This window comes from Homo sapiens, chromosome 3 (assembly GCF_000001405.40).
Source record: "Homo sapiens chromosome 3, GRCh38.p14 Primary Assembly".
NCBI classification, from domain to species: domain Eukaryota; kingdom Metazoa; phylum Chordata; class Mammalia; order Primates; family Hominidae; genus Homo; species Homo sapiens.
Window position 1 is genome coordinate 182,130,276 of NC_000003.12, and position 15,078 is coordinate 182,145,353.

Genomic DNA, 15,078 nt, shown 5'->3' on the forward strand with positions numbered 1-15,078 from the left:
ATCTGAAAAAAAAAGTCTTCATTTAGAAAACATCTTCTTTTATTTTTGCTCTGAGTCCATGATACCTGCCACAGCCATGAATTTCCAGTTGCCAAGGGGAAATTGTGGTTGGTCTCCGCTCAAGCTAATTCTGGAATATGGGATTAAGTTTGATCACAAAATGAAACTACTTAATCCCAATAAACTCCCCAATCTGAGAGGCATTAAGAAACATTGGGGATGCCAGGGGTTTTAAGACTGATAAACTTGGGTTACTTTGCCTTTAAAATGGGGATAATTGTAGTATTAACCTTAAAAATTAGATAACGTAAAGCCCTGTGCTTGTGTCTGGTCTGGCCCATAGGATGCATTTAATAAATAATCCTAACTGTCTAAATGGTAAAGCTGACATGAATTCAGCTGAAATAAATACGTCGCCATTATTAGAAATTCAAACATAATGCAGATATTTTTTAAAATGTAAAAACTAATGCTGTAATCGAGTTAGGGGAGCTTTGAACACACAGGTCATGATTCCTTTACAACCTGTTTAACTTTTTTATTTGATTTGGTTGTGGTTTATTTGAGTTTGAATGATGAGAGGGATATATTTGGTCAATTTTGACAACTTGAGAAGCATGGTCCTTTGTTTCAGCTCCCCAGTTTGGATTCCTGAAGAGATGATCCCAGTTAAAAACTTCTGAAAGCAACACAAAGCAGACTCTGAATCTGAAGAAACCTTGCAGTCCCTTTAACCTGCACAAAAATATTTCAAGGGTAACTAGAAAGTGCATAAGAGGATTCAGACGTTCTGTGACATACATTTTAAATTCTTCCATTTCCAGATGAGAGCACCATAATATGCAGAAGCAAAGTGCATCAAAAAGATGAGGGCCCTTTGAGGCAGGCGTTTGCAGAACTAAGTATTATTCAAAAAATAATCCTCAAAGAAGTAAGTGAGGAGCACAGAGGCTGAGGCTCTATATTTGCAAATGAGACTACGAATAGGAACTTGACCTGTTCAGGTAATTTTACCAAGTTCTAAACTGCGAGTGGACTTCCCAGTAACCCAAGCCTCTTACTAAATGTCTGTGAAAGCATGCTCACCTCCACACAGCACAAACACAGGGAGTCATGAACCTGCTTTCTGTCTGCCTGGGTTGTGAATAGAGAATTAGGAGCTTACTGCAGGCACCGCTGTTAATGGAGCATTCTGCAGAAAGACCTTGAGAGGTGGTCTCAGTTCACTCAGAAAGTAAAATGCCAGCAAGCTTGCAGCTGAATCAGTAGTAGCAGCTCTGCCAAGCTACAAATTGAAGAAAGACAATAACAACTGTCTTTCAAGGAGAGCCTGCTATGTACCAAGCACACTTGAACTTACATATTATTTTTATTTTTACAGCTCTGTGAGGAAATATATATTATTATTTCCCATTTATAGATGAGGAAACTGAGACTCAGTGACTGAGTAACTTGCCCACCATCGTAGCTAGTCTATGGTGAAACTATAATATGAACTCAAGTTTACCCAGCTACAAAGCCTCTCACTGTATAGGCATAAGAATATGATAACAAAATAAAATGTATAATCATACATTTTTCCTCTGACATCCAAGACTCTTCTTTGCGTTGCAAGGCTCAACTAACCTAAGGGCTGCCCCTAACTTTAAACAGATCCTTAAATGGACTTTGTCATTTCTTTTTTCCTAGTTTTTCTGACACCCCCACTCACTCTCTTCAGCATATTCTTGAAATGCATTATAATCTGTCATCTCTTTACCTTCCTCCTTAAGTGCTATTTTTTAATTTTTAATTTTAATTTTTTATTTCCATAGGTTTGTGGGGAACAGGTGGTGTTTGGTGACATGAGTAAGTTCTTTAGTGGTGATTTCTGAGATTTTGGTGCACCCATCACCTGAGCAGTGTACACTGTACCCGAGTTGTAGCCTTTTATCCCTCACCCCTTCCCGCCCTTTTCCCCCAAATCCCCAAAGCCCATTGTATCATTCTCATGCCTTTGCATCCTCACAGCTTAGCTCTCACTTATAAGTGAGAACATATGATATTTGGTTTTCCATTCCTGAGTTATTTCATTACTTCACTTAGAATAATGGTCTCCAATTCCATGCAGTTTGCTGCAAATGCCATTATTTTATTCCTTCTTATGGCTGAGTTACATATATATACACACACACATATATACCACAATTTTAAGTGCTATTTTAAAATATTTAATATTTTTTGTCTCTTAAAACTATTTTCCTTTGAATCCAGAACTAAGGTTATATTAGTTTATAAACTAAACTGTTGTAACAAATTATCTGTGATAAATAATGCCATATGTAAGATAGAAGTTTTTCTGTCTCTCCTAAGAGGACAGTGGTTCACGCCTGGTGGGCAGCTCTGGCACCCTTAATACTTGTTGCCAAGGTTGTTCAGCAGTAGCCATTTCCCATGCAGCAGGAAGAATGAAAGGGAAAATGCATGGCAAGTGGATTCGTCATTGAAGAGATGATCCAGAAGGGGCACACATCACTTCAGCTCTCATCCTATTGGCTCAAATGCAGGCTCATGGGCATACCTACTTACAAGGGAGTCTGGGAAATGCAGACTTTAGCTGGGCCGTTAAATGCTTATCTAAAACCCAGGGTCTTCAATTACTAAACAGAAAAGCAGGATGGTGAACACTGGGACCAGCAATCAAGTCTGACACAGTCTGTTTCTAGTCTGGCCACCAGTCTAGTTTGGACTATTACTGATGCTGTGGAAGTGGTAAGCACCAAGTCTTAAATGCACTCCTCTTAAGCAGTAAGCTCAATGCCAGGAATCTTTGAATAATAAACAAATAAAACTAAACCAATCTTCAAAACAAGTTTGCCTCATTGGCTTCTGGAACACTTAGATCTCTTCAATGGCAAGATTTTCATGGTCAGACCTGCATCAAGTTAGTTAGTTAGGTTGCCAGTTAATAAAAGTAAAGATTTTGGGCAAGTTGTTTATAAAGAGGTAAGAGATGTTGTATTTGTTTCTGAACTTGGATAAATATTATATTGATATCAATATCCATGCCATTCATTTAGGGTTTGTTCAGAAATCATAGAATAAAGTTTTTAGAAGGCATCCCAACCAATCTCATATTTTAACAGGTGAGGAAACTGAAGCTCAGATTAGTTAAAGGACTTTCCCAAAGTAACAGAGCTGATTAATGGAAATGTACATTGCAAAATATCATATTCGCAGCAGTGCCTATTCAATGCTAATTGAGTGAATGAATTAATGTTTGAATATTGAATAAACATGATGGGCAGAACAAGAAGTCATTGAGAAGAAAGAAGTTGTCATTAACTAGTAATAGGACAGATAGCAGATTTCAAAAGTAACATGGCAATCATACTTAAATTTTCTGAGATTGAACTTTTAAAATGGGCCACCCTGAATGAAACATTTATATTTAATTTTCCCTGGGAACTGTTTTGGCTTTGCTTCTAAACACATCATGGTGATATGGCATGCAATTTCTCTCTGCTGAAGCTCTGCTTATTCCAGAATCCAATCAGGTCAGGTCAGATACCTTGAAAATCATGAGCAGAGTCTTCAAAAGAAACCTAGCACAACTCTTTGAAAATGTATTTTTCCTATTATTAAGACAGGGCACTGTCTTGCTGAGCTGTTTTTTCCTATACCTCGGTAAGTGTTTCATGAGTCACCTTTGCTCAGCCTGACAGCAGAGCAGTTCAGAAGGTCACAGCCTTCTTTCTGGTTCTAAAAGACTGCACATCCCTGGAACGAGGGGTATTGTTTTACTGGAAGAAAAACTAATTAGGGTAAGAAATACATTAATGAGCACTGTAGTAGTCTATATACAATAAATAAAGAAGAGGAGAAAGGATAACAAGGAGAAGGAAGTCAAAACACACAATGAAAGCCTTAGAAAGTTGAGTTTCCACACATAAAACTATCTGAAGAAAACCAGAGAGAAAAATTAATTTGCTTCTTCAGTCCTTAGAGCACTGATTCCCAACCTTGGTTTTGTGACACTCCAGGATGTCCCCAATTATCTCAACAAATGTCATGAAATGTTCCAAAGAATTCTCAAAATGAAATTAGTTTTATTTCATTTAAAAATAGATGGCCAGTAGCTCTTTCAAGAGCAAGGGAATCAAATGAGCGATTGGCTGCCACCAGCCTAAAAAGGTTGCAGAACACCAGGTTAGGGCTAATGAAAGCCACACTGCCATTTTGGAATAAAAATTTGTAATACTTTTCTAGACATTTTTGTCATCCAAATCCCTTGAGATTTATTCTTAAAAATAGAATAATAATAAAGATAAATGTTTGAGACACTTACTCCACCAATTGACCATACAGTGGGCAGTAGGATTAACTGGAAAGAACGAGAGGTTGGGAGTCAGATGGCCCTGCCTTGAAAACTGGCTTGGCTACTTAATTGTGGAGGAATCTGAGTGTCTTCCTGTACACAATGCTTTCCTATTATTAGGAAAGCATGCATATGCATCCTAATAATAGTAATAGTAACTACTGACTTCTTAGGGGTGTTGTGGCATGAAACAAGATGTCTATGAAACATGTAGTACAGTAGCCTCATAGTATCTACTGCAATGGAGATGCCTTTCTTACCACCTTCTGACTTTTAAGATGAAAATGCAAGCTGATGTAAATACTCCTGGTGGCGGCCGTGGTGGTGGTGGCCCTGGGGGATGGTGCTAGCTTCCAGTATGGGGAATGGACATGTCTGTCACCCTTGGAGACAAGCAGAGGCCCCATGCTACTTTTTTATGGACAGAGATTGGGCAAGAGCAATAGAGGTCTGGCTGGTGCTGTTTTCTGCTCGTTTCCCATTAGTGCATCTGGGATAGCAGCCTCCCTATGCCTCAGAGATATTTCTAGTATACTTTTTTTTAAAAGTGGAGAAAAGCCGGTGATCTGAAGCCAGTGACCTCCAAGTGTATACTGAGATTAAGCAACAACAAAGGAAGAATGAGAAGTACTTGCTCTTGGCAGGAGATTCTTAGAGCATGAAAGTATCAGGAGGGACATTAGAGATCAATCTTATTTCACTCCCTCCCTTAAGGAACAATGAAAGTGAGGCTAGGAGAGATGAAGTGGCTCATCTAGAACACCCAGCAAATTGGAACCATGGTTTCCACTCAGCCTTGTAGAATGTGCAAGACTCAAAATCAGGAGAATAATTGAATTTTGCCAGCCTTAACCATTTTCCCTGCTTTGTTTTTCACTGAGTGAGACACCTTTCAAAGATTTCATTCTCAAATAAAGAAAACAGGTTCAGGGGAGTAAAGTCTTCCGCCTAACAGCACAGAAACTTTAAGAAAATGGATTTTGGTTTTTGACATCATGTTGAGTGGAAGGTTGTAATGAGACATGAGCATAAATAAAAATCATAAATACAACCTAAGAATTAAGGCATGATGAAGCAATTAGAAATACACGGCACTCCATTCAGCCTGTACCTGAGATCTGACTATGCTGAGAAGAGTCCATGGTGGCCCTTTAACAGTACATAGAAATCCAAGCTCATGGCAGAAACTGAGTGTCTGGAGCACTAATAAACACTACTAGTAAATTATTTGCTTAGAAAAAAATTATAATTCTGTTTCATACTATTTTATACACCTTTGCCAAAGCAATCTGTTTTAGAATTAAGTGGCATAAATATTTGCCCCTCTCTCCCTTCCCAGAGAATCATAGAATCTCGGGATTTAAAAGGGTCTTTTGGTCCAACCTCTGACTCAAAGCAAAAATCCCTTCTCCAGCATCCCATCCAGCTAGTCTCTGCTTGGCCACATTCAACGTAAGATAGTGTCAGAACATATAACTATAGTGGAAAAGAAAGCACAAAAACAGGGCTTGGAAAAGGAAAGCATGCATATGCATCCTAAAGATTGGTTTTGCTGAATCAGGATCTAGTGAATAATAATAAAAATAACACTCCCACTTCAAGTCCACACACTAGGCAGCAGTCTGGAGGATTTTCCCCTCCCAGATGCTGTTTACATGTCAAACAAGAGGCCATGATCATGGTGGAGTCTCAGCTGTGTTCAGTGCAAATACAGTGATGTGGGCAAAATAAACAACAGAATCACAGAGGAGGGTGCAAACAAACAGTGTGGTTGCACATTTCTAAGTAAAATGCCCCAGTTATGGAAGTGCCTGAGAGGTTAAAAGACCGTGTATCAGCCACCTTTGTTCACTCCCCTTAAAAGCATAATTGTGACAGGGTTAAAGTAAATTCACTTTTCAAGGAAGAAGCTGTAACCTTCCTTTATGTATATGTTATATTAGTCAAGATCAAGATGAATCCAGGCCATCCTATTGCTAAGGTGGAATATTTGATTAACTTAAACATCTTACTAAGCCTCAGTCACAAATGTGACCCAATAATCTTACTGTTGGGTATCACGGAGTAGCCTCCCGAAGACGTAGGAGTTTTGTTTATCTTGCAGTGTGTGGCTAAAGCAGATAGTAAGAACTGACAACCAAAGAGAGCACTCAGGTCTATAGTTTGAACCTCTTGAACACTGGAAAAAGTTTTTTAATATTGTTTTTAGTTAATTTCTCCCTCATCACTCTAAGTTATATTTGAATTTTTAGCAGTGCCGCAGGGAGTAATATAGCACTATTTGTGGATTTTAGTTACAGCCAATTCAGAATTCATGACATGGCCCCATTTTGAGAATCAGTGAATTCCCCATTTGTCTCTTTATTATGCACCAGGTACTAGCATAAATACAAATAAAAAAAAGCTCTGCTTTTAGAGACTGTGGAGAAGATAGAAATAAAGAGATAAAAACAATTCTTTCTTTTTTTATTTAAAAAAATCATATGCTCACAATCAGATTAGAAGTGTATTTACCATAACACTCCATGTCCCTTTAGATACACTGGATGGTTTTATGTATTGCATTAACTGCTTTTATTTATATTTATAAAAGAAAACAAACTTGGGATTGAAATGTGGCTTTGCTGTTTACTAGCTATAACCCTGAACAAAGTAATGTCTCCGAATCTGTAAAATGGAGTTAGTAACATCAACTCTGGAGGCTTACAAGGCTGTAAAATGCATGAAGCATCTACTATTGTATCGGATACAAGTAGCTGGTCAATAAGTGGTAACTATTATTAATTGCTTGCTTTATGTTCTAATAGTTCTGAGACTTGTCCAGTTTCAGGTGCAAAGCATTTAAACAATATTTTAGGGCCAGGCGAAGTGGCTCACACCTGTAATCCCAACACTTTGGGAGGCTGAGGCGGGCAGATCACGAGGTCAGGAGATGGAGACCATCCTGGCTGACATGGTGAAACCCCGTTTCTACTAAAAATACAAAAAATTTAGCCGGGCTTGGTGGCGGGCACCTGTAGTCCCAGCTACTCAGGAGGCTGAGGCAGGAGAATGGCATGAACTCAGGAGGCGGAGCTTGCAGTGAGCCAAGATCACGCCACTGCACTCCAGCCTGGGCGACAGAGCGAGACTCTGTCTCAGAAAAAAAAAAAAAAAAAAAAAATTTAACAATATTTTAAATAACTGTTGGTCATGAAAATATGTCCATACATAATTTTTCGAGTGTTTGTTATATTTGCCACTTTCCATTTTTAAATCTTCTAAACATACAAAGGGACATAGATAACAAACGTTTTAAGACCTATAAAACATGTGAACCAACCATCTAATTAAAGGATTAGAACATCACCAATAGCATTGCACCTTTTTTGAGAGTTCTTAAGATAATTATCAATACTTGCTATACAATTTTTATTTATTTTATTGCTAAATTCTTATATCCAACTTATAATAGCAGGTAATGGTTTTCATACAGTATTTGTGAGAATGCTAAAAGTAGTGGCAGGAAGAGTGGCACACCTGGGTATTGAGGTAGAGGAAGGAAAAGGAGGGAGGTTGTTGCTTTTCTACAACATTCACACTTAAATGCATCCTGGCTGCCATTCAGTGTGAGTTCAGGCTGACCCATTGTCTCTGTGGGAGCCATTTTTGCTCTAAGGTTTCATAAAACATAAGAAAACTGCATTTTATTAGCACTTTGTAAATTTAAGTGCACCAGGGAAAATTGCCTTATTAAGCATTACTGAGTTACCTGAAAAACACAATGTTAGAAACTAATATTTTTACAGAAGACTGACATTAATGGTTGGTTATACTTCCCTTGAGAGCTTAATAATCTTTGATGAATAAAAAGTTCTCTTGTGAACAGGAAACAAGAAAACATTTTAGAAAGTAAATAACAGTTAACAGAGGACTCCTCTTTCCCTGTCTGGTAACCCAAAACGGCCATCATAAATCACCAATTAATGTCTGTATAAGTATCTGTCACAGAAGAGAGTTCTAGGTAATGATATAGACTTGCTGTATTCAAGGAAAACAAGTTTCCTGGCAATGGTACACCATGCAACCTTTTTATATAAGATTTGCAAGTGCTGACTTAAAAAGTATGAAGTAAAAAAAAATGCTCAAGTAAAAATCATGAATGTTGGAAAGGAGGCTTATATCTTATTTAATTTTGATGTTATGAATGCAGAGAAAGTCACTTATGAGTAAAAGTAATGTGTTTGTTAAAAACCAATATACACCAATATTTAATACTTTCGGTAAAATTTTTATGTTCACTTTTTGGTAACATATTGTGACCAATTATAATTTTTGCATTTGTATGTCCTCCTGACTCCCTCAAAGTTTTCCTGAAAACAGTTTTTTGTTTGTTTGTTTGCTTTTTGAGATTTCAACACACTCAGAAATAGCCATTAAAATGATTCTTTACTGTTGATAGCACAAAAGGGTGACTACAGGCAATAACTTAATTGTACATTTTATTTATTTATTTATTTATTTTTATTTATGTATTTTGAGATGGAGTTTCGCTCTTGTTGCCCAGGCTGGAGTGCAATGGCACAATCTCAGCTCACAGCAGCCTCCGCCTCCCAGATTCAAGCAATTCTCCTGCTTCAGCCTCCTGAGTACCTGGGATTACAGGCATGCGCCACCACACCCAGCTAATTTTGTATTTTTAGTAGAGACGGAGTTTCTCCATTTTGGTCAGGCTGGTTTCGAACTCCCGACCTCAGGTGATCTGCCTGCCTAGGCCTCCCAAAATGTTGGGATTACAGGCATGAGCCATTGCGCCCAGCCCTTAATTGTACATTTTAAAATAACTTAAAGAGTGTAATTAAGAGTGTAATTGGATTGTTTCTAACTCAAAGGAGGGAATGTTTGAGGGGATAGGTACCCCATTCTTCATGATGTGCTTATTTCACATTCTATGTCTTTATCAAAACATCTCATGTACCTCACAAATGTACACACCTACGATGTACCCACAAAAATAAACAAAAAATTTAAATGATACCTAAATAATAGCCTAGGGACAGTAAAAGCGATATGTTCTATGTAGTCATGTAAATGATAAATAGTGCCATGCCTGAGCAGCAATCATAATCAGATGTTCAAATTGTGGGTTTGGGAACATTGTAACGAAAAGCAATCCTCTGAGAAAATCAGTGTGCACTGATGGGGGCGCTATTTCTGTTTTTTATCATAAGCATTAATCATTTTATTGCTTTGATAAGAAGATGTAGTTATAGTTGGAGATGGTGTTAAAAAAAAAAAAAAAAAGCCCTCAGCAGTGGATAGAGAAATCTTTTGCTTTCAGTTTTTCTTAGAAATCCCTTCATGTGCTGCCTCTCCTGGCCCTCCCTCAACTCTCCCGCTCATACACACATACACAAACACACGCACACTGGTGTCGTCTTGTCTTTAGTCTGGCTTGAGCTGCCTGAGGGCTTCTGGGGCAGCCTTGATGTCCTAAAGGGTGTGTGAAATTGAAGACAAACATTTTTACTAGGAGTTTACAGCCATAACAAAGTAAACTGTAGGCCCTCCAGGTGTCCTTGATGGGTAGGAACAAAGGCCTGTGGTGAAGCAAAAAGAGCCCTGGAGTTTGAATTAGAAGAAGCTGCCTTTGAGTCCCTGCTCCAAGTTCATGGGCTGGGTGAACTTGGGTAATCACTTTCTCTCTCCAAGTCTCCGTTTCATCAGGAGTCAAATGAGGGAGCAAGACTAGGTTATTGCTCAAAGTCTTTACCCAGCTCTAGGAACCTATGGTCCCAGTGTTTGCTTTACCCTTTATATTTTATTGGTTACTTTCCCATAATTAAAAAAAAATGATGTCTTAAATGTTTAGAAACCAAAGAATAAAATTGCATTTCAAATAGAATCATAAAATTTGGGTGATTTTCTTCTCCTTATTTTTAGTAATTAAAAGTTACTTTTAAAAATAAAATAAGACAAAATTTCCTTTAGATTTTCCCTTTTGAAGAAACCAAAAGATGGTGGTATGTTGGTTCTCCTTCACCACAAGGGAAATTTCATTCATTTGTTTGCTTATTACTCTAAGACATAATTTGTTTTTCAAATGTTTAATAAAAAGTGCCCATAAAACATAGAGTTTTTATACACGAATCATTATTTATTATGGAAGGTTGTATCATGCATTTCAGTTAACAAACCATATTTACATGCAGGATCATACTGCCTTACCTTATCCTAGTCCCACTCTATTAGGAAGGCAAGCAAGATACTAATCAAGACATCTGATCCATGGGGAAACCAAGGCTCAGAGAGGTTGGAACTTGGCCACAGCTGCACAGAAACAGACAGAGCCAGAGCTGAACATAGACATCTCCTAGAGCTGGGTCCCAAGTGAGTGTTAGTGTGATTAAACTAAACTCACTTAATTCAAGGCCACTGTATACATCAAATGACATTTCACCTGTATTAAGAAGTTTATTTCATTTCTAGTTTGAAGCTTAGACTCCTTTAAATAGTTCAAGCACTGGCCACAGTTCAAGTTCAAAGCATGGTATATCAATTCAGAGGTTGGGAATGCCCTTTGATGAATACCTTAGAACATAAGAAATAACTCATAGAAAAAGATAAAGAAGAAAAGGGAATAAAGTACATTTCCTTAGAATGTTGGAACCATTGCCTTCTAGTTGAAGAATGTGGATGTCAGGTGGGAGGGGGAATGAACTAGTACTTTAGAACTATGCAGACCTGGGTTAGAACCCTGACTCTTCCTCTTTCTGACTCTTACACATTTGGTAATACATCCCTTGGAGCCTCTGTTTAGTCCTAGGCTAAAATGTAAATATTTAACTTGCAAGGTTGTTTGTAAGCATCAGAGACAATTATATAAAGTGCTCGTCATGTAGTGCTTGACAAAATAAGCACTTCATAAGCAGTGGCTATTGTTCATAGGAATCATTTTCTTTCAAATTGTTAGATCTATTTTGTGATGTATTGTACTATTTAATGTAAGAAATCTAATGTAAGTATAGGGGGAGCTCTATCAGTGGGAGACCTGTTGAACTTAAATAATCTCTGAGATCCCTTGCAACTCAGCCCTTTTTGTAATTTATATTTTCCAATTTGCTACATCTATTAGAGACCCTGATTATGGTGGTGAAATAGATACTACCAACTTCATACATGTGATCTGTTATCCAAATATATATGTGTTACAAACAACTTTCAAAATAGAACCTGTACATATACAAAAAAGAAAATGCTAGTTTTTACTAAAAACAGTGCTAGAAAGGGACTGGCACTAATAGCAACAGTAACAATAGCAATAATAGCAACAATCATTTTTAAAGCATCTACTCTATTTTAGGCACTGTATGCCACAATGTGGAAACTTGACGGTATCCTCAAGACACTAGAGAGCATGACCAGGGGATGATGCCAGGGTGGGCAAGACATAGCATGCATTATACCTGTGTAGCTAAAGTGCCCACAAGAGACTGCAAAACTTCTCTAAGCAGCAGGTATGTCATGAAAAATATGTTGTGATTGGATCAAAGGACCAGAATCTATCTTTTATTAGTCCTGGGTGACTTTGGACAAGTCATTATCTTTTTGGGCCTCAGTTTCCTCAACTATAAAAAAAATAGCTGGAATAATCTTTCAAGTCCAGTATTCTATGACCCTGTTGTACTAATTATTTTTATAACTTGCCTGAACCAGCTCAGTTGTTTTAAGTGTATACAATCCTATAGGTATATACACTCTGTTTAATTCTTTTTCTCCTATCTTTCTTTCTTTCTTTCTTCTTCCTTAAAACAACATTATTTTGGCCAAGAATAAGTTGGAATGTCACAAATTTGCATAAATAGCTGAATTGACTCACAAATATGTTTTCTAATTAAGTTTTAATTTTTAAAATTTCTTGTAGAATTAACCCCATCAATCTCCTTTTGATGCTTAAATAGTATTGGAAAAATCAAGCTTTATACTGAGAAGTGGTGCTAGTAACTGCACTAAGTTCCTATTAACCAACGATGTAGTTTTCACAAATTTCATAGTGATTAGACCCATAGGAATGAGAGTAAAGTGAGTGTCAGAGATCCAATTACTATACTGTGCAGTTAAAATGTCTAGATGAGATTTTTGAACTCTCAACTCAATCTTTTTCCTTCTTCTTAAATGACTCCTAAGGAGAATAGCATATTAAGGAAAAATCCAGATATTAGATTGATATAAGAAAGGAAGAAAAACAGCACCAGGCAACAGGGGTAAAAATGTCTCTATAAATGTGACAGACATAAAAGAAAGTGAAGGAAAGTTAAAAATTACCATAGGGCAGGCAAGACACCTGCTAAAGAACCTTCTGCTGCCAGTCACAGCTGGAAAGAAAAATGAAAGAGATGCAAACAACTGTCCTGGAAGCATGAAATCATTCTTTTGTCTTTTTTTTTCTTATGAACAATTACAGTATGCAGAAATTAGGGGGGGATCTCAAAGTATTGGGATGAAAATTTCAGCGGGTTCTGCATATAAATAGCAGAGGCATGGAAGTGTGCCTCTTTGAAAACAAGATGTGTTTGGGAGCTCCCCGTGCATTGAAGAAAGTGGTAATTAATGCATAGTGAATGACTTTGAATGAAGGATGAATAGGGGACATAACAATGGGTAGTTTTTTCTTTTCCTTTTTCTTCTCTTCTTTTTTTTTTTCCTTTTTCTTTCTTTTCTTCTTCTTTTTTTTTTTTTAAGGTTAAAGCATTGAAGAAAGAAAGCTGTTAAAAGATGGCTACTGTGAGGCTACCACTTCAATGTCTGTCTTCTGTGGCTTTCCTCTCGAGGCTGTGGTGGGAGTTTGTTTTGTATTGCTCTCCAATCACAATGGAGATAATTTGCACCAATTTCATTTTTGTGCGTGCTCCTCAATGTTTTCCTTTTCTGCTGGATTTTTTTTTAATATTATTTTGGCAGGGTTTGGTCCTTTGATGATCCTTTTGAGCAAATGGTTTGCCCAAAGTTCAGATGGTGCTAGCTCCGTCTTCTTTTTCATTTACAACATCAAGAGGATTACAGAGAATAACTTTGTTGCCCAACATCAATGATATATCTTCAGGCTACTAGAAAGGTAGTTCTCAGAAAGTGTGTCTTCTAATAGTTTAGAACCTCCACAGGCTTCAGATAAAACAAGTATTAAATACAGAAAGCTCACAAGGATACCAAGGAAGGTTAAACTCACGCAACCTCCTTCATCTCAAACACCTGAAATATATCTTTTTTTTTTTTTTTTGACTGTCGAAGTGTGATCATGGTGAAGACAGCAGTAAGATCTTATATAACAGAAGACAGAAAAAGACAGAGAAGGAGTCACGTGGAGATGCACACACATATTGGTGAGAGAATATAAAAACAATCTTGTCCAAAGGCAAGTAAATTATAATGGGCCAAAAACTAAATATATGTAAGTTGAAAAAAAGATACCATAGACAAAGTGCTAACAGTGCAATTTTTTTTTTCTCTCAGTTAAGCCAACTAACACAACCCCAAATTTGGTCTTAAGGAAATTTTAGGAATTCTCATAATTTTAACAATTGTGAATGTGCAGAGGAATTCCCACATAACACAGGCAACTCGTATATCTTTGGCCTCCAGTTACCACTTCAACTGTGGATGGACATTCAAATGTGGATGACCCACTAGCTCCTTCTAAACCTGTCATTTCCTCTGCCCCTTTCCCTTGAACTAGCTTCTCTGATCTAGTCACAAATTCTGTGAACAGTTCTAAGAGTCCATTGGAGGAACTGGTATCATATCTGTGGTAACTAAATATTGCATCAATGTCATGCCATTGTGTTCTTTTTAACAGAGTCTGTTTTAATAGAGTCTATTTTATTGACTGCATAACTAAATATGATTTTGACTTTACACCTTTATGTGGCTTCTCATACAAATAAATTCAAACCCAGAGCAATTTACTGGGGGGAGCACAGAAGCATTCTCAGATGGCTTAAAAATTGCTACTAAATGTTACTAAAATGTTACTAAAAGCCTCTGTCTAAAGATTTTTTTTTTCTGATTTGTCATATTGCCTAAAATTCCACAATGGAAGATAAATTCCTTTTTGTTTTTGGTCCTCAAAGTCCCTATGTTAAAGCAACAATCTCTGAGTTGGGACTTTGTATCATCTGGAGATACAGAAGTTTCTGGGAGAGAGAAAGATGTTGGAAAACAAGGTGCAAAGGGGCCAAAGAAATTCTGGAACCTCACTTGGCACCTATTCCCCATTTCATCCTTCCTCTGCAGTCCCACTGTTGCTTCCTTAAAACAACAAGTTATCATCCCTATCATCAACATTTTCATGTCTCTAAACAGGGTCTTGGAATCCTTTATCAGCCTACTCCAGTTTACCCTCATGCTGCTGCAAAACTAATCTTCGCATAGCTTGGTTTAGGTCACTACCCTACTTAAAAACCTTTTGGGCTGTCTTTTGCTTTCCAAAGACATGCATTCATCCAGCTGGGCATTTGAGGACCTTTGTGATCTGACTGTAATCTGTCGTTCTGGCCTCAGCTCATGCTTCTTCCACTCAACGCTCTCTGTACTTCAACCACAGTATGGTATTTGATTTTCTAGCATGATCATGTCTACTCACCTTCATGCCATTGTTCATGCTATTCTCATCAAGTGCCTTCTTCCCTCTCCTAACCTCCTAACCACCCAATAAGTGCATGACAAATATCTTCTAATTTAAACAT

At 37.5% G+C, this 15,078-nt stretch overlaps 1 annotated feature.

Annotated features, from left to right (window-relative positions):
• Positions 9,509–10,308: an enhancer, noted in NCBI's record as "OCT4-NANOG hESC enhancer chr3:181857572-181858371 (GRCh37/hg19 assembly coordinates)". NCBI's record gives its function as "activates a minimal SCP1, AML or CMV promoter by ChIP-STARR-seq in naive and primed H9 embryonic stem cells {active_cell/tissue: H9 hESC(naive and primed)}" and the evidence as "EXISTENCE:reporter gene assay evidence [ECO:0000049][PMID:30033119]".